This window comes from Homo sapiens, chromosome 15, assembly GCF_000001405.40.
Source record: "Homo sapiens chromosome 15, GRCh38.p14 Primary Assembly".
Taxonomy (NCBI): domain Eukaryota; kingdom Metazoa; phylum Chordata; class Mammalia; order Primates; family Hominidae; genus Homo; species Homo sapiens.
Window position 1 is genome coordinate 35,096,399 of NC_000015.10, and position 20,835 is coordinate 35,117,233.

The 20,835-nt window shown below is 38.5% G+C and overlaps 1 long non-coding RNA gene across 1 annotated transcript in view; it reads right to left on the bottom strand.

The window, feature by feature from the left end:
- Positions 1–19,958, bottom strand: part of LOC105370765 (uncharacterized) — a 36,546-nt gene extending 16,588 nt beyond the window's left edge. Inside the window, exon 1 of the long non-coding RNA XR_932103.4 lies at positions 128–19,958. This is a non-coding gene — a long non-coding RNA (uncharacterized LOC105370765). The remainder of the gene's footprint in view (positions 1–127) is intronic.
- Between the last annotated feature and the right edge of the window lie 877 nt (positions 19,959–20,835).

Here is a 20,835-nt window from a genome sequence, read left to right on the forward strand (position 1 = left end):
ACATTTTCCCACTTTATAAAAGGAAGGGAAATAATTCTCGATTGGAGAGAAAGTGACCTTATGATCAAGCCATTGCATTGTTTCCCCACTTTTCAACTTGTAAAGAGGGCAAGACATAGCTACCCACCTTCTGAAGCAAGGCAGGCCTGAGGTTGCACTTGCTTCATGTGCAGTTCACAGTCAATGTCACATCTACTGTGTCTTCCGCTTGCAGCTCAGATGCAGTCCTGAAATGCATTAGATGGCATGTGATGGCTTTTTCTGGGTATAGTATCAGAGTGATTCATGAGAAAGGGATCAGAAATGGGTTGAGTCTTGCAGTGCACAGTGTCTTCATACCCCTGACTAAAATGCTAACAAGGGAACTTTGCAGGGCTCTAAAACAACTCTCAGTCATACTGTAGTATATACAGTGCTCCCCACATTGGCCTGGGATTAAGATCCTTTTGAAAGGCCAGGCGCGGTTGCTCATGCCTGTAATCCTAGCACTTTGGGAGGCCAAGGCAGGCAGTTCATCTGAGGTTGGGAGTTCGAGACCAGCCTCACTGTTTTTTTCATATGAAAGGAGCCATTCACATCAATGGGTGCTTTGCGGGCCCTGGGGTCAGAAAATAGGCAGACGTACAAGGCAGTAGGTACCCGTTTCCATTCTTAACTAGGCTAGCATTTTTCCAGTTGAAATGCCCAACATATGCACCTTTAAATGCCTTACTTAGGCTTTGAATGACTGCAAAAAACAAGTTTTGCTTACGAATTTAGTTTTCCTGTTTTCTCAGTGCTAGGGAAGGAGCACTTTCTTCTTCTTCTTCTACTGACAATGAGGCTCAGCTCTTGACAATTTAAACTCTGTAAGAAACTCTAGAATTTTGATGCACTGTTGTATTCACTCATTAAGGAACAAAGCCCCTTTCCAAAATAAATAGACTTGAGGTCTAGATCATGAAGGCCTGAAGAAGTAAAGTTAGGTGCAGAAGAGCCGTCTTTTGAAGAAGTTCACCATGAAAATAGTGCACGGGCACAGAGTGGCTGCAGTTATTGCTTATGAGGATAAATGAGATAATGGATACTCACGGGCTGAATTGTGTCTTTTCCCCACAACCCCTGTCCCAAATGCACATGCTGAAGTCCTGACTCTCAGTACCTCAGAATGTGACTGTACTTGGAGATAGCACCTTTAAAGAGGTAACTAAGATAAAATAAGGTCATATGAGTAGACCTTAATACAATATGATTGATATCCTTATAAGAAGAGGAGATCAGGACACAGTCCACACACTGAGGAGTGACCATGTGAGGACACAATGAGAGGAAACCATCTACAAGCCAAGGAGAGAGGCCTCAGAAGAAACCAAACCTGCCAGCACCTTGATCTTGGACGTCCACCCTCCAGAACTGTGGGAAAATAAATTTCTATTGTTTAAGGCACCCCATTTGTGGTATTTTGTCGTGGCAGCCCTAGAAAACTAATACAGATTTGAAAATATTGGTAATTTATAAAGTATTATTATACAAATGTTAGTTATCTTTATTATTATGTGATTGTGTTGCACTGGAATAATGTTATTATTCTAAAAATAAGAGTGAGGGAGGAAGACATATCATGAAGGAGCTAGGGAGTGGAAAGTGACCTGGATGTTAAAAAGGAACGTAGTTGAGTAAAAACAGATTGAATGCTAGGTGCTTGGTAGTACCAAGAAGAGTAAAGTATGCATTTTGACCCCTAGCAAATGTCAACATGATAAGGAAGATGCTGAAAGAAGCTTGGGGAGTGGGGGAAAGGCAATTACTTCTTGTTGGGTGTGATGAGTGGAGGTGGGGAAGAAGGAGTTTGCAAAGTTTTCATAAAAAGAAAGTAACATTTAAGGTTCAGAAATGAAGACTTTTCTAAGTCAATCAAGTGAAGGCAGAGGAGAAAGCAAGTTCAGCGGCACTATTACATGAGTGTGCCGTGTTCCTGGGAAGAGCACACACTGTGCCAGCAGGACATGAAACAGAGGGGACAGTGCTAGGGGATAAGGTTGAGAAATGGTCGGCATCAATTTGTGAAGGGCCTCGAATGCTGTGTGAAGGGACCTGGACTTTACCTTATAGACAATGAAGAAGAAAAGTATATATATGTTTTATTCTCTCAATAGTTCTTTACTTTCTGATTTTATCTGTTTTTCTCACTTTCATCTTCATACCTTTACCCAGACTTCAAGTGCTGTCTCTCCCAGCCTACTGGGTTCCATCAGCCAAATGCTCCTTTAAGTCCATCTTTTCTGAAGATTTAACTGATTTTCCATTGAGTCCATTCTTGAAAGCTAATCAGTAACCTGGATGTCCTACCCTGTGCAAGGTTTGTCACCAATATGATGGATCTTTTAGGAAAAGTCATTTTAGCAATTTGTTAAGAACTGACAATAATGGTCATTTACAGAGGTCTTGTGAGCCAAAGTGTGATGGGCCCAAAACATAGATTAATTGGGAGAGTAAAATGTGTCTAAAAGTTGACATATACCCTGTTGTCTAGTCTGGGCATTCTCTCCCTCTCTGTATCTGAATTAAAATAACATCCATCAATTATGGAGCACAGCCAAACAGTTAAATATAAGTTATGAGATTAATTGGAAATGCATGCCAATTCTTGAACAAGTTTCAAGAGAAACCTTTATTAATTCATGTTTATATATCACAGAGAATAATGAAAGTCACATTCACCCTTTACTTAAAACAAACCCTCATCACATCTACTTAAATAGCTCTACAGAACATTTTGACTATGGTGGGTAAGCTGTAACACTACAGAACATGCATCTCACCAATAATCTGGTGAAAAAATGGGCTGAATGTCTAAAAAGGCAGAAAAACTCTTATTACCACATTTTCTGCTCCCATGTACCAACTCGTAAATTAGAAGTAAATGTACCCCGCCTCTGATCTCAAATTCTATCTTCAGTACACTAATAAAATGCTTCCATATTGGCCAAGAGTTAGTTTTTATATTTTTAGAATTTATTCTTCTAATAAATGTAAAAAATTTAATACATAATTTTAGTTATAGAAAGGAAATTCTTAGAGTATCAGTATAAATGAAGTGGTTAGGAATAAGAACTTTGGTGTCAGATTACCGAGGTTCAAGTCCTGGCTCTCCAGTTTGTAATGTCCTTGCCCAAGTCAGTTTTAATCTCCTTGTACCTTAGAGAATTACCAAGAAGATTAAGTAAGGTAATGCGCTACAATGCATGCATAGCACAATAGTGGGTAAAAACAACAAAGTGCTGTATAGAAAAAAATTATTTTCTGCTAGATGCTGGGTCTCTAAATAGATTTTGAAAGCTCTAGTGTACACCTGTCTCTTTCCACATGGAATGAAGTGAGTTGACAAGGAAGTCATACCGAATGCCCGATAAGACTCCCATCTACAACTATAACTCCTCTGCCAGTGGGCAAGAAATGATAATGCTGATGTAATTGATAAGTCACAACTGCAGAAAAGTCAGTTCATTTACAAGTTTCAACAAGTGGCTCAGAAGAAGTTAACTTTTACGCAGCTCTAAGCATGGAGGTCAGGGAGTTTGTGTTGACAGAGAATACTTTCGAACCTTTGAAGCAAAAGAGATGTTCATACCTAGGCAGAAAGGTTTATTTTGGGTCTTACCATTGAATAAAAGAGGTGCAAAGTGTAATGTTAAAATTCTTAGTCCAGCTTTGCACCAGGAGACTGTGCTGAGAACAGTTAGAGTGAAGATCTCACTCCTCAAGCTGGGTGGTGGAGTTGTTGTTTGTTGATCGAAATGTTAAACCAGCATGCTGCATGGATAATTTCTCCTCTGGGTAAATGGGTCACAGATACCAGAAGCAGCGCAGATGCCATCTTGTCCATCTGTGCTTCCAGCAGTGTCTGCAACTCTTAAGATTCCAAAATCGAAAAACAATAAGTTTTCACTGTTGATCTTGAACAGAGCAGGTACACAATCAACAGCTGTTCCACAAACTCATCTACCACTGCAAAGTTGATTTCTTTGGGGGTGAGATGTGGATAAAGATTCTCCTATCTTTCTGACACTCAGCACCCATTTTGTCTGGTCCTGTGGTATGTTTTGCTTGAGGAATTTTCCATTATCACATCAAATAAAACTAATGTTAAAATATTTGCCATGTCCTCAATTTTTCTGGTTTTTCATTTTAGCAGAAATTCTACTTATAATATGATTGAAATGAAAATGCCTTTCTCTAGTTCTGAAAATGATATTCAGGTTATGGTTATTAAAAATAAAACAAAGAAATGGAACTCTAAATAAACATTTAAGACAAAATCTAATGATGACAAAAATCAGCAATATCAGAGGGCACTTGCTGTTAATTTGATGATGTCAATCAGAGAGGTGAGGCATATGATATGGCACCTTATAAACATGGGGCAGGGGAAAAAGTATATATTTTTTATTAATAAATAATAAAACCACAAGAAGAAAACAAAATTCTTTCCACAATACTGTTCAACTTACAAGTTCAATAAAAATTTCTCATATGGCAGTTTCCTCTCTAAACTGAGAACTTCTCTTGTAACTAAAACTGTCATGAAGTTGCCACATTAGACTAATGATCTTTAGTTATAATTGGATAATCAAATTTTAAATTGTCAAGAAATGGAACTGAAATTCATGGAATTTGCCAAGAGAATAACTCTTTGATACACATTTGACAATCTGAAAAATACCACAAGCTTCTATTGCATTATCCAAGGGCAAAGCAAGCACTTGAATATTCTTTTTAAAAGCATTTCCCTCCATGATCTCAGGATTAAAAAATATCTCAGCCACGTTTGATGAATTTGTAATACATTTGCTTCAAGTTTCCTTTGGAGTAATTTTATCAGAGATGACTTTTCATGAATCCGGTCCTTGGTATAGGTTAACTTACAGCTAACCTCTTATTGTAATGACATTTAACCACATACTCACAATGTTGCCCAGTCTCCAATTATTAACTAAGAATATGGAAGAAACAATTCTTGAACTGGGTGAAATTTGTAATGAATAGGAATTAAACATTTTTAATGTGTGTGGATTAAGAAGACTATCCTTTACTGAATTTATTTCACATTGAACTGTTGACATTAGAGGTGATATTGACAAAAGTGGGGCTAATCAATATTGAACTCTAAGGGTCAAAGGACTTCATGTTTGGTGTAATAAGCAACTTAGTTTAGGTATTACAGTGTTTCAGCAAAGTAACAATTATTAAGGGTCAGGGGAGCTTTCCATTATAAACTGTAATTTGGGGAGGCTTGCATATTTCCAGTCTCCAAAGGAAAGTGATTGTGTGATCAAGCAAGATGGTGGCTTGGAAATAAAGAGAAAGCGAGTCATTAAATTTGAATTTGAGGAATTAAATTATTTCCATTTTTTAGATTCAAAACCTTTCTTTTCTTACCATCTCCGTAGATCTTTAATGAAATCACCAAACCCAGGAAATTTTGGATGAAAGGTAAATCTCATTTAAAATTTTAAATGGTTGGAAATCTTTTCTTGTGAAAATTATCTAGCACATACAAGAAGTCTATAGGCCAGGCATGGTGGCTCACGCCTGTAATCCCAGCACTCTGGGAGGCCGAGGTGGGTGGATCACCTGAGGTCAGGAGTTCGAGACCAGCCTGGCCAACATGGTGAAACCCTGTCTCTACTAAAAATACAAAAAATAGCCAGGCATTGTGGTGGATGCCTGTAATTCCAGCTACTCAGGAAGCTGAGGCAGGAGAATGTCTTGAACCCAGGAGGTAAAGGTTGCAGTGAGCTGAGATCGCGCCATTGCACTCCAGCCTGGGCAACAAGAGTGAAACTCTGTCTCAAAAAAAATAAAAAAAAGAAGTCTATAAATTATAAATACTACCGAAAGGAGCTCTGTATCAATTCAGCTAGATATGGTTCAATGAAACATCTTCTACACTTTCCACTTAGTCCCTGTGTAGAATGTTAGCACCATATGGAGATCGTTACTCTTCACTCAAACATACTTGATCATGCTTGCCTACTCAGTTGCTTAAGATTTCATTTTTCTGCAAATACTACTGTTTATTTAACTAAGAAATAATGCTTTAATTATTTACTGAAAATTTTATGTTGGACACATTGTGATTTGAACTTCAGAAAAAGCAAACAATAAGGTAAATATAATATATACCAAATATTTTATAAAAAATAATGATGAAATAAAAATGGGTAACTTCTTAGAAGTAGATACTGCCTGGCTTAGAATTCAACAACATAATTCATTCCCTTATTATTTTGTTAAATTAACATGAAAAAGTTTAAGATTATGGACTTTGGGTTTAATAAAAATTGCATATCTGAGCACAGAGGAGGAGGCCCTAGAGTACTAACTCCAGTACTGTCTGTCTATACCGGGCCCAAATAAACAAAACTTCTGAATCTTCAAGTCCTTCCTTGGGCAGACACTAAGTGCTCTGCCCTCTTGTGACACTTCTTTTTTGAATTTAGAATGTATAGATACATTCAAACAACAGAAGTGGGCATTGATCAGTCAGGGAAGAAGCCATGTACTTTCAGTTTCCATTACATTAAACAAAATACTCATTAGTGCTTGGCATTTTCCCAAACAAACACAATCAAGGTGTCCACTGAGGGCTCATTGTGCAGTTAAGAAGTTTAAAAAGACCTTCTAGACATCAGCTAGGGACAATTAAGAGATGGGTTAAACTACTCCGGGGTAAGAAGGCGGGAATTACTGGAAACAAACACATGTAGAAAATCAACTGCAAATAGACAAGCCACTTTATTTTTAAGATCAGTTAGATATTCAAAGAGAGAAAGACTAAAGATTCCTCTGCTTAATAATTATTGCCCTCCTTGATGAAATCACAATACACTTTACTATGGGAGTATTCAGGTACATTAAAACTAAGTCACGTCTAGATATGTGGCAGAAAAAAAAAAACCTAATGGAAATCTGTCATCACAACATAATTGTTCCCATCCTTTACTCAACAAGTGAACTAAGTGCTACTACTACTAACAGGTCATAATAATGTAAGTTGTCTCAGAAATCTATATCCATTAAAACTGTTGAAACATGTTTTATGCTAAACATCCACCCCCAGATCCTCTTAGAACAGCTTCTAGAAAATATTACTGAGAGCAAATACTTGCATGCAGATCAGATCAACTAAACTGTTTTTTCCAAGTGTTTTCTTCTTTCTTTCCTTCATTCTTTCTCTTTTTCCCTTTGTCTCTTTCTGCCATCCACCCATCCATCCAACATTCATTAAGTACTATCTGCCAGGCACTGTGACAAGTGCAAAGCCTCTAAGAGTGAACAAGACAGACAAGGGTTATGCGTACATGAAGTAACAGGCTAGCACATGCTGTAAAAGCTTTTATATGACCTTTGTTGCTGTTGGTATTAAAACAACTACATTTGAGAAATCTTAATTCAAGACTAGTATCATAAGTTAAACTTCAAAAATCATTCATGTTACCTGTTCTTCACTCTCTGGGTAGGGGAATGAGAAGCAATGCTTTTCATATCAAAACTTCTCTTATTATTTTTCATTTTTATTTTTTGAGATGGAGCCTTGCTCTGTCACCCAGGCTGGAGTGCAATGGCACGATCTCGGCTCACTGCAACCTCTGCCTCCCAAGGTCAAGCGGTTCTCCTGCCTCAGCCTCCCAAGTAGCTGGGATTACAGATGTCCGCCACCAGGCCTGGCTAATTTTTTTGTATTTTTAGTAGAGATGGGGTTTCACCATGTTGGCCAGGCTGGTCTCAAACCACTGACCTCAAGTCATCTGCCTGCCCTGGCCTCCCAAAGTACTAGGATTACAGGCGTGAGCCACTGCACCCGGCACCTTCTCTTATTTTAAGGTGACGTTTATGTTTGAACTTTGGCTGATGCAATCTAATTTACTAGGAAGTTCTAGGAAGAAATGTTAAATATAAACTGTTTCTCAAAAGGATGCTGTGGAATCTTTTCACAAGGAGTGTATGAAAGAATAGGCAAAAGGAAAGGACGCATACTTAACATGGAACATGAAAACCTCCTTGAGTTTGCCACAGTATACTCTCCCTGCTTTTTAAGTCAAAGACACCATTCTATCAGTACTTAACACGGATCTTTAAATCCCAGACCTAATAATGCTTCCCAGCTACAGCTGGATGCATCTGACAAGCAGCATGTAGTAGGAAACCTCACAGGGGATAAGGTTCCTAACAGTCAACTAAGGGTTCAAATCCCAAAAGAGATGCCCCTGGAGTGCAGAGCACTTAACCCTTCGACCAGTACCAACATGACTATTCACAAATTATTGATGCTGCTAAATCCCTGGCAGATTGCAGACAGTTCTTGTATCCATTGAAGCTGAAGCATATGGCCACTAATGAGATAGATTTTTAAAAAATACATATACACATTCAGTCTTTGCTACATGAATGTAAATCCACTGAAATGCTAGAAGGTGATTGAACTGGATGGAACACTGTTAAATACATGTTACGGATCATTTCCATTGACATCTATCTGCATCCTCAGTACAGTTTAATTAAAGCTGTCTGGAACACGTCTGCCCTCTAAATGATCAGCAGTGCAATGAAAAGGTGACATCTGAGGAGGCTTGAGGCCTTTTCTGTAAAGCATTCAAATGACTGTCTCTGTGGTTGAGAAGAGCAGCAGAGAAGAAATTCATTTTCAAAATTAGCCAGCCATTTTACATTTTTTTTTTTTTTTGCAAAAAAAGGCAGAGCTTCTTCTGATGTCATCTTGAAATACTAGAAGCTGAGTTAGTTAGTTATAGCAGATCTTAAGAACTCAAACTGGACCATGTTCTGGTCCCAAATAAACATGTTTTTTTGGCTTGAAAACAGTAAATACTGTAGCAAACTTTCTTATTAGTATTTTATTTTGCAAAACAAAACCCCCAAATTGAACAATTTTGCATAAAATAATCCCTTAAGACAATTTTGCGACTAGATGGCAGGAACATCATCTGTTAGATATTTTCAAACAATTAAAATGTTTATTGAATCTCTGATGTTTCCAGCACTTGTTATCAGGGGAAAAAGAATAAAATATGGATCTAGGGCATAAGAAATGTGAGACATGAAAGACTGGATTTTAGATTTATTAATTTATATTTATTTTCTGTGGCATTTTCCTTTATTATGATCTTATTTAAATATATGTAGATCATATTTGTTCTTTAATTCCAGAATTAATGGTACTTTATAAAAGTATCAAAAAGACTGTCATATTTAAATATTTTTTTCATTGGCTTTTCCACACAAATCCATCAGTTATGGTGTAGGCTTTTTCTTTTCATTTCATATTTGATATCTACTTCATATAGGACATTGAATTATACTGTGTGCCTAACAGCCACTACCTGCCACCGCAAAACAAAAATAGTCTCTCCCTGTCTATTATAACATGTTCATCCAGGATGGGAAAAACTTAAGAGTATCACTAACCCAAAAAAGCATCCCTAAATTCACTCCATTCAGGAGTACAGATGATTTTAGCCCTGATGTCTCATAGAAATTAGTCAGACCTAAAAGATATTATATTGAAGCAAATAAGCAATATTTATTGAGTGCTTTGTGTGCATTGGCACTGTGGTGGGAACTGTGGGGAATAGGATTCAAGTACAAGCTTCCTCAATGAACTTACAAACTGGGAAAACAGACACATTGAAAGTCACCAAGGAATGATAGGGTCAGGTGAGTAAAAACTGGAGTGATGCTGAAAGGCATTTTGAGGAAGATGAAGCTTGAGCTGGGCTTTGAAGAATGAGGCCAGAGGTCCAGGCCAGAAATACCATAACAGGCACATAGGGGCTGAAGGGCCAGGTACAAAATTGCCCAGCCTGGAGTGGATACTTTGTGTTGAGAACAGCTGGGATCTAATCAGAACAGAAACTACTTGAGTTTAGTTTAAATAGAAGGAATTTAATACAGGGAATTTACTTTAAAGGTGATCAAAGCCTGGGATGATGAACAGGAGACAGTATAGCAATTTAGAGATGAGCAACTTCAGGAAGCTGTCAGCAATGCTTTGGTTGGAATGACAAGGGAGAATACAGAGTTTCTGGAGCTCAGAAACCAGGGTCACTCAGAGGATGATGGAACTAGAGAAGGCTTAACCAGTTGGATCTGGAGCACAGGAGGTATAAAAATGCAATCATTTCCAGAGATCTGCATGAAGCAGAGAGAAGGAGAAATAACTTGACTTCTGCCACCCCCTAATCTCCCACCAATGTCTCCTATTTGCCAGGCCCAGTCTGAAGTTGACAAGGAGCCTAGGAAAAACATCCTGCAGGGGTCAGCTTCCCTGTGATACAGAACAGAGTAGGGGAAGGCGAGGACTATGTAAGACAAACAGACTAATGATTAACAAACAGAGACTAATGCAAAATTAGGTAAGATTATTATAGTAGGACCCTTTTATATAATGAGTTATGAATGTCAGGGAGAGGAATTTAAACCAAATAGGCTAGAGGAAGCCATCTTAGGTTTTTGAGAAGGGGGAAGATAGAATGAAATTGAGATTTTGGGAATATATGGCCAGAGTATGAAAAAAGATTTGAGGCAGGGTGACCAGTTAGGAGGTAGTAACAGATTAAAGATGGCCACAAGCTCCTTGAAATTCCTCCCCTTGAAAGGTGGGGTGTATTTCCTTTCCCCATGAATCTCAGATGGTCCATGGAAGAAGTGACACTGTGCCAGCAGGCTTTAAGAGGACTGGGAGATTCCATTTTGGTATCTTGGAGTCCTGAATTGCCATATGAGAAGTCTAACCATCCTGCAGAAAAAGATCATCTGGAGAAGCCCAGAGAATATGGGGCAGGCAAAAGGGCTCAGGTGAATCCAGTTGTCCAGCTGTTGCTCACCAAGGCACCAGACATGTGAGTAAAGCTGCCTTAAACCCTCAAGACAGGCCCAGCTACCAGATGAATTCCAATGACTGACTGTTGTTAATGAATCATTCAGCTGAGCCTTGCCCAAATTTCTCATCCAAAAAATGATGAGTTATAATACAACGGTTGTTGTTTAAATTCACTAAGTTTTGGGGTATTCTATTATGCGGCAGCATATAACTAGAGTGGAGGCCACGCAGTAATATGAACATATCATGATAAATCCCCCAAATTAAAGTTGTAGTAGGAATGGAGAAGAGGCACATTTTTTGGAAGAGATCCTGAGTTTTTTTGTTTATAATGGGTCGACAATTTTTTTTTTCTGAAGATGGTCACGTAGCAAATATTTTTGACTTTGTGAGCCAACATATCTTTGTTGCTACTACTCGACTCTGTCGTAAGGCAAAAGAAGCCACAGACAATATGTAAATGAATATGTGTAGCTGAGTTTCAGTAAAACCTTATTTACAAAAACAGGTGGCTGACTAGCATTGGCTGTGGGACATACATTGCTGACCTCTGGTTTATAAGGTTTGAAGTAGGGAGGAAAATTCAACTGGAGATATGTTACATCTAGATAACACACAGGAATGGAGCTTTGTGACGTGTCAGGGCTGTAGTATAGATTGAAGAATAGCTAAATATTCTGGAAGAGGGACTACAACATTGGTGTTATATCTTTTTAAGGTTGCTTCTGCTTTGTTGTTTCTTTTAAGTGACATTAGGATAGTTAGTAAACACACTAGCGGGCTCAGGAATTACTTTAATCTATAAGATGGTTCCACTGAGCCAGGGAACTTATAACATGGAGACAATCAGAGAACAACATTAAACAGACTTTCAGTTACATCTAGGTCTGCTCTCAATGGTTTTCAGATTTGTACAATTTCAACCCAATATATTTTATGAGTAAAGTGCACTGTTCTAGAACTATTTTTTTCCCTGTGTGTGGCTAATACCATTCTAATTTTTAATTTATATCACATTCATGATTTATTTGAACAATTATGAGTTTGGCAATATTTCTTGCTCATACTTGAAGAGCATCTACAATATCAATCCCAAAGTATTTATATCCTAAACTATCCTGAGAAGTCAATGGTTATTTTCCATAAATTTATGATATATTGAAGGCATTTTGTCATGCTATTTACTGTTATGTCATGGGAAAAAAGCATGACCTTTGAAGAAATAAAACAAGCAGTTTTTTAGTTCTCCTGCATATCTGTTAAGCTTATGGATATTTAGGCTTTATAAAACTTCTATCAGGCAGCTAAACAATTTAGACTCACACAGCATGTAAATTCTATCAAACAAGGGCTCTTTACCCTTTCACCTATTGCCCTACATGTGCTTGGCACAGTGGTACAACTATTCAGAACAAACACTAATAGTCTGCTTAAAATCTTAAATACAAGTAATGCAGGCATGCTAGAGGATTCTAGTGAATATTGAAAGGGGTTTTTACCCATTTAAGGCAGAGAATGGCTTGAACAGTTCTGTTTGGAGCCAGAAAAAGAGCAACCTGGTTCAGAGGTGAAGGCTTCTTATAGTTCCTGTATTTGATAAAATACAGGCGTTGTAGCATTCCCTCATAGACCTGTGACCTCAAGCCCTGGCCTTTAGACTTTTTCCCTCCTTGAGAGTGAAATGATTAGTGAGGTCCTTCTATTAGATATGTTAGCAGTTTCTGCAAAAAAGAGGATTTTAATAATACTAAATTGCAAAGAATTATGAGGCAGGGCTTACTCCTGGATACTAAGACAAACCCAGTTGAAGCTGACTACATAAGCTCCTATGCAGGGCCATCTGTTTAGTTCTAATAGTATTTTCTTTCTTTTTCTTTTTTTTTAAAAAAAATCTTTGTAGCTTGGTTTCAAACCCTGTCTGGGACACCTGCTCAATGTGAAATGAGATTGGTGAGTCTCAGTCCATTTGTGGCTGGCTGAAATTTTCCATCTTCCATTCCAGAAAAATGGTCCATAAGGAAATTAAGTGAAAAGAGTTAGACGTCGTCACACATGGATTCACATGTAGGTGTACTGAAGGCCTAGAGAATCTTCCTGTGTGAAAAGTACAATATAAATTCAACACTGGTTCATTGGTTCATCCACTTCTCCTCTCAGCAGCTCTCTAACACCTGAGGTCTCTGATACCCTGAAGAGGATGCAACTTTAGGGACATCTTTTTACTATTCTAAGCCACTGCATAATTTGAACTGAGATTGTAACATGGTTTGAAATTGGCTGTATTTGCTGCTTCATTTAAACAGGAATGGCGTATGAAAATAGTATAAGAGGTACATGTTCTGTGCTTTTCTATATTATGTAAATAGAGATTTAAAGTCTCTCTAAATAATAATTAAAGAATATTCATAGTTTAAGAGGAAACAGATTAGATGCCTTCAGACCATATATTACCCAAGAGAGAAGGTGGACGACCATAATTTATTATAACCCAAGGCAATATTACCCTAAAGTGGTATGAATTTTGATTTCAAAAGTCAATAGGGTCTTTTCCGTATAAATTTAAAGTCACCAAAAATTTCCATGAATTTACTAAATACACAATTAGTTTCTTGTTACAGATAATTTCTATTGATCCAAATCTGGTTTGTCAGCATGGATTAATCACAATCGTCCGGGATTGAGATCTCTATGGCTCAAGGGATCAGTTTCTGGGCTAGGAGCCTCTCACCCCCAGGTCACTGTTTCCAATGCATAAAGGAGTTTTGAAAGGCCTATTTGACAGCTGGTGTGAAACCAACCAGCACTTTCAACTAAGTCTCCTGCATAGATTCATTGTCCCTTATATTAAAAGACATTAGCACCTACTGTCTGAGGGTATATGTAAGGTGAAAAATTATTGCATTGTCACCAATCTTATTATTCATAGCTATGCCCATATTTATAATCTCCTATGGTAAGCAATAGCAGTTGCTATCTTCAAGGCCTGCCGTATCTAGTTATAAAATATTTATCTCTGCATGACATTTTCCTGCAGTTGAAACCAGCTGATCTCTGATAGACCAAGCTATTGTATATTCTTTCTTTTCTAGAATAAACTGTAGAAATATTTATTTTCTAGACAATATATGTGTGTGCAACTCCTTTCTTTGTTTGCCTTTCAGGTCTTCCCTAAAGTGTAGGTTATAAGGTTCTAATCTTTTATCACTACATAAAAACTTCAGGCCCAGGTCTTTGCCAGGCTTCCCTAAAGAAAATACTGTCCCTGGCAGTTCCTGGGTTAGATGATTGTCCTTCACTTGCTCAGTCTTTAGGAGGCTTTTAACCCCACCTGGGCATCCATAATGATCTATTGGGTAGATCTATGGGGCAGATCAGGGTAGTACATATGCCCTGCTCTGTGGCCACATATTTCATCACTCTAGGTCAAAGAAACCCTCTGAAGATTCTCTTCCCTTCAGCCTTCAACCTGTAAAAGCCCTTAGTAGCCTTGTTTATTCAAGGTGAGTCAGGCAACCTGGTTTTCAAGAGTTTTCTAGTTCCAGCCCCATAGATTTTTGTTGTCAAGGACCAAACAACCTGTTCTTTTCCTGTCTTTGTAGAATAATGAATAGGCTTTTACTATAATGATATTAGCCATTCTCCTAGTTAGGAAAGAAAAAAAACCCGGTTACCCTGAATTAAAGAAAGGAGGTTCTAGCCATGTTGGATCATGTATTAAGTTTTGCTACCTTGGCTGGGTGCGGTGGCTCACGCCTGTAATCCCAGCACTTTGGGAGGCCGAGGTGGGCGGATCACCTGAGGTTGGGAGTTCATGACCAGCCTGACCAACATGGAGAAACCCCGTCTCTACTAAAAATACAAAATTAGCCGGGCATGGTGGCACATGCCTGTAATCCCAGCTACTCAGGAGGCTGACGCAGGAGAATCACTTGAACCCAGGAGGCGGAGGTTGTGGTGTGCCGAGATCACGCCATTGCACTCCAGCCTGGGCAACAAGAGCAAAACTCCGACTCAAAAAAAAAAAGTTTTGCTACGTTTTCTTTACTAAGGTATTTTAAACATATGGTTCTTCTATGAAACTGTACATCTAGGAAGCTCAACTTAGTGACTTGTGCCTATAGTGACTGTTGTACTGTGAATGCAAGTTCATGATTCTTATTCATACAAAGCATGAAAGGCCGAGGCGGGCAGATCATGAGGTCAAGAGATTGAGACCATCCTGGCCAACATGGTGAAATGCCATCTCTACTAAAAATTCAAAAATTAGCTGGGCGTGGTGGCGGGTGCCTGTAGTCCCAGCTACTTGGGAGGCTGAGGCAGCAGAATCGCTTGAACCCGGGAGGTGGAGGTTGCAGTGAGCCGAGATCGTGCCATTACACTCCAGCCTGGGTGACAGAGAGACTCCGTCTCAAAAAAAAAAAAGAGAGAATGGGGGCCGGGCACAGTGGCTTATGCCTGTAATCCCAGAACTTTGGGAGGCCAAGGTGGGCAGATCAGTTGAGGTCAGGAGTTCAAGATCAGCCTGGCCAACATGGAGAAACCCTGACTCTACTAAAAATCTACAAAAATTAGCCAGGCATTCTGGGGGGCACCTGCAATCCCAGCTACCCTGGAGGCTGAGGCAGGATAATCACTTGAACCCAGGATGCAGAGGCTGCAGTGAGTTGAGATCACACCACTACAATCCAGCCTGGGTGACAGAGTGAGGCTCTATCTCAAGAAAAAGAATGAAAAGCATGTAGTGTTTTCTGATCTATTCTCAGTGGGGGGTCATGGTGATCTTTGGATGTTGTGTAGAAGACAGTATAGTTCTTGACTACTGGGCCATGTCCATACAATGAAGCCAGCTTGGCAGAATGTCTCAGTGATAGAGGTCATGCCCACAGGAATTGGTGGCTTTGGTACTAGTTATCCATACATCTGTGGCTACTTAATTTCAAGTATCTTTGCTGTGGGATCAGAAAGGAAGGTGTGGGGGATCTAATTAAACCAAGAAATTTGCCTTCCTGGATTCCAGATGTCAGGGAAGTAGCCCAAGATAATTATCTTCCAATTCCAAATTGTTGACCCAAATTGCTCCAAACTGACTTGAGTGCTCCTGGCCATAAAGCTAGAGGTGTGGGAAGAAGGAGGAAGCTCCTTTGGTTTCAGGTAAATGAGTGGAGTTGACCTAGCTAAGTGGCTTCCTTCTCAGTCCAGGGAGCGGGAGGCAGACAGTTACATTCATAGAATGTCTTAGCTGAGGACAAAGAGCTGCTGGATTCACCCTTAGGGGATTTACTGTTGTCCTAGAGAAGGCCATCACTAAGTAAAAACACTGAATTCTTTGGAATTTAAATTTTTCCAGTGTCCTCATAGCACCTTGTATACATTTCAATTACATCATCATAGTGAACTTCAATCATTCACCGGTTTTCCTTCCCAATGAATAATAAAGGCAGTGACTATAAATTATTTATCTTTACAGAACAAGGATAGAATCTGATATATTACCTGCACTCAAGAAATGTGTGACAAATGAATGCATGGGAGAATCCAGAGAGGAACATGACATGTTCCATACTTCTTTCTTATCCTATTCTTTCCTTTTGGTGATGGTGACTTAGAGATGGAATCATTACATTATCAGTGTAGTAGAGTTGGTAAGCCCTCAAGTGCCCTGTGCTTAATTTGAATTCTGATTTTTAATACTTTTTAGTTATGTGATTTTGAACAAGAATTAAATCTCTTCATCTGTAAAATCAGAATAATGCTTATTTTATTTGGATGTTGCGAGGATTAAATAACATACAGTTCTTGACACCTATAAGTTACATTATTAGTAATATCACTGCCATCAAAGTGAGAATATGTCCAGCTTGCTGCTGTTGAGCCTCGGTGAGAGGGAGAAATCATTTACAGCATCAAGTAAGAGTGCCTGATTTATTGTCTTGGATCATGCTAAAGAATGGACTAACCCCCAGTTATTGTGCATCCCCTGGGTGATTCGATTTACCACGTAGAAATACGTGTCTTCCCTATTCTAATTTCCTTTAGAGAAATAAAATCTGATTATTTAGTCAAGGAAATTCCTTCTTTCTTCTGGGTGGCCAAGGTGTGTGTGTGTAGGAGGGAGGTGGGTAGAGCCTGATATGAACCATGTTTCAGTGTCCAGCAATCCTGGGGGCACTGAGGAAGAGTGTGAGTGCATAAATATGGGATGCTGACATTCTGAGCAAGCCAGAGAATGCACCTAGATTCCCAGTGTGGGCTAGAAACACAAGGGAAAGGAGGCACTGATTAACAGAAAGTTCTTGAAGAAGTCTGACATTGGAAGGGTAGACTTTCCAATGGAGTGAATATGGAGGACGCCTGGAGAGGAGAAAACATCTTAGCCTAGAATCTTTGCACACAGTAGCAGAATGGTAGTCTGCTAAATAGTAGAGGTAATAAGTGCCCATAAAACCAATATAAGGTAAGAAAAAAATATTTCTAGAAACATTAGACGATCTCTAGAGTCTAAATTTCCCTGGGTAAATGTAGTTATTTCATATTTACTAGGTTTCTTTTCATCAAAAAGAAACATTTACTTGAGTCTATATTACCTCTTTTTTACTTAGTTTATTTGCATTTATAACTCTTCTAAAATAAATTGGTAACCTGGAAACACACAGGTACCATTTTTTTTCTTGCCACCGGCCAGTTCTAAATTATCAATAAATAAAAGAACTTCTCATACCCAGACCTTGATTTGAAAGATACCCTGAAGATTTACAATATGCTAAACCAGGGAAAAACTTGGGAGTAATCAGTACAATACATTTTGCTCTCCATCATAATCAGTTTTTCAGCCTCCATGTCGATAAAACTTTTTCTCCTTTTTCACAATGGTTTACAACTTAAATAATTTAATACAACAGTTGTTATATTTTTATTGCAAGCTTATAAAACCGGTACTATAAGTCTTTTCTATGCAATATATTACCAAAAAGTGACAGTGGAGAAGGGGAACTGATGATTACTAAAACTGTAATTCAATCTTCAAGTTCTGAAGATGTCATAAAAACGTCTTCTGCTTTACTTGCATATGGCAGATACTATCAGGATGCCTCAAATGAACTCTCTCTGGATATTCAATCTCTCCTTAGGCATTATTTCCTATACAATAAAAAAGGGATTTCACAATGCAAATGCAACTGTGATTCAAGCCCAATAGTTCTTTTTGTCAAATAGGATTTTCTTTTATGAAGTTTCATCTTAGAATTAATTTTGATATCAATGCCTGTCAAGCTGTGGAAATTGAGCTGAACCAAGTGAGCCTATTCCTCTTTGCGCTGACTTGTAGGAAGTGGTAATTAGAAAAAATGCAGAGATTTTGTACTGTGCTAAAGAAAATTTAACTCATCATGCTACATACTGTCAATCTTGTCGAAAGTATAGAAGTGGTACATAGCAATATTCTATAAATGCCTATTTTATCATATATTTTTTAAATCCCCTCTTTACTACTTTTCATCTTACATTAGTTGCATGAAAATTATTTTCTAATTCTGACCAATTGCTGCTATGATCTGAAAGGTCTGTGAAATTAAATAACAGATTCCGATAGTGTTTATGATTAACAATGTTCCACAAAGCTTAGGACACTAGCATGGAAGAAAACGTATTTCATTAGATAAAGAGGATGGCTAGTTATTTGTACATTCTTGCCAACTGTTCTCACTCAGTGGTCTCATCACATGTGTACTGACTTCAGTCTAAAACAAAGAGGCATCAAATTCCCCAAATCTCTTCTTTGAATGTCCAACATACAATTAATCTAATGATGTTGCAAATAAAATTAAAGAACTCTTATCTTTGTATTAACAGAGTCACTTTGCCTTCTGTATCAATGCTGTAAAGCAATACTTTACAAAATCCTTTAAAAATCTTCCTAGGATGAGAATAAATTAGTTTTTATAGGGAGGTGGAGGAATCGAACTTTCATAATATGGCTGCCTGGAGAGCAACACATACAGTTGGAAGGTAAAATTTTCCATTTATCCCCCAGCCTGAGAGAGTGCAGGTGGTGCTCTGTGGGTTTCTGCACTTTGTCTCCCAGCCAATGCAGCCCTGGCCGACTCCACAAGGGGTGAAAGGTCACAGACGCTATGTGAGTGGTGTGTAATTCTCACCACAACAGAGGCTGCTAATCACATAACATTAGGGTGAATTATGATAATTATAAAAAGCTGAACAGAGAGATTCAACAATAACAACAGCACGACCACAGCTGTGATGGTAGTGATGAAAAGGTGGTGCTTTCACGGCCCATGGTAATGGGTTTGATTGAGATTCTGGCAACCTTTGGTGAAAGACACTTTGCCCCTTGCAGGTTAGCTTTTTCTAAACCACCTCTATAATAAGTAGAGTAAAAATAACCCATTCAAACAGTTTCTAGTGTTGGAAGGAGCTCAAAACATTATCCTGTAGCATGCTGAAGTCCTATTCGTCTACAGAGTAAGAATTTATTTCAGAGTCACTGCTTTCCAGCAGGTCTCAACTTGTACAGCTGTTGGCTTCTGAGCCTTACATGAAATTTTAATTTTTCTGATCCCATTTTACTCTTCTACATATGTAACCCCCTGTAATGGATTTTATTTGCCCTAGGAAAATTTGGAGAACAATAAAGAAGAGCCTATTCTTAGGAGTTTTCAAATTCAGGAAAAACTGATGGCAAATTTTGAAATAGGAAAAAGTCAGGCAATGGGTATGAAGTGCAATAAAGAAACTAACTGATAGAGTTAGTCCCTACTGATTAGATAGTTTGCTTTTCACATTTTGGGGGCAAAGAAAACATCATAGCCTTTTGTTGCTCACCAAGTTGAAATGCCTTGCAACATTAGTTGTTTTACTGAATCAAGAGAGGCAGAGATATTTAGAAGCCACGAATTGCAAGGGGAAGTTGGGCCACCATTACCCCCAAAGTTTAGCGCTAGGGCTGGCTTCTAAGTAGCACTTACTAACCGCACTCCTTGAATATACAGAAGATGCAGTATGTTTAAAATAAAAACACAGGGCTTCAGCCGTATTTATGTATTTATTTATTTGAGACACAGTCTCGCTCTGCCGCCCAGGTGTCACGATCTCGGCTCACTGCAACCTGTGCCTCCTGCGTTCAAGCGAGCACCTCCAGATAATTTTTGTATTTTTAGTAGAGATGGGGTTACACCATTTTGGCCAGGCTGGTCTCGAACTCCTGACTTCAAATGATCCACCCACCTCAGCCTCCCAAAGTGCTGGGATTACAGGCGTGAGCCACCACACCCGGCCATATTTATAAGCTAATGGTAGCACACCAAATCTTACTAGGAAGTGAAAAAGTAGTCCTGGTTGACAGATAAATGAAATGATACATATACTCTATGCAAATAATGCCATAAAGCAAATAGTCTCATATGTTCTAGGTAAGGCATCTGGGTAGTTTTTAAAGACTTTTTTTCTTCTTAAAATATGATGATCCAATGTAGTGCTAATGAAGGTGGTAAAATCCACTACAAAATCTGAGTCATGAAGAAAAAGTTCAAAACTCTTTGACACAGTTCAGTAGAAGAGGCACCAAGTGCCTTTAAAATATCATGTTATCAAGCCCAGCTGCTATGAGGTTGGATAATTCCAAACCAGGGTCTAGGCAATTTATCCCAGTTGCATACTAGTAGCCCACCTATTCTGGCTGATTTGATATTAGCTTGGAAAGGCAGTTTTGGGCTAAATAGTGCTGGGGCTTACAGTAAGTTCATTTTAAACTTTCAGCTGACATGAAAACATTTATACTGAGAAGTTACATAACTACATAGGCAAATGGCTACTTAAATGCATGCATCTTTATTTGATTCCTGAACCACAAGAGGTAATGATGATGATAACCATAATAATGACAAAAACTAACAGTATTTAATATCTACAGGCGTTGTATTAGGTGTATTGACTGCATTATC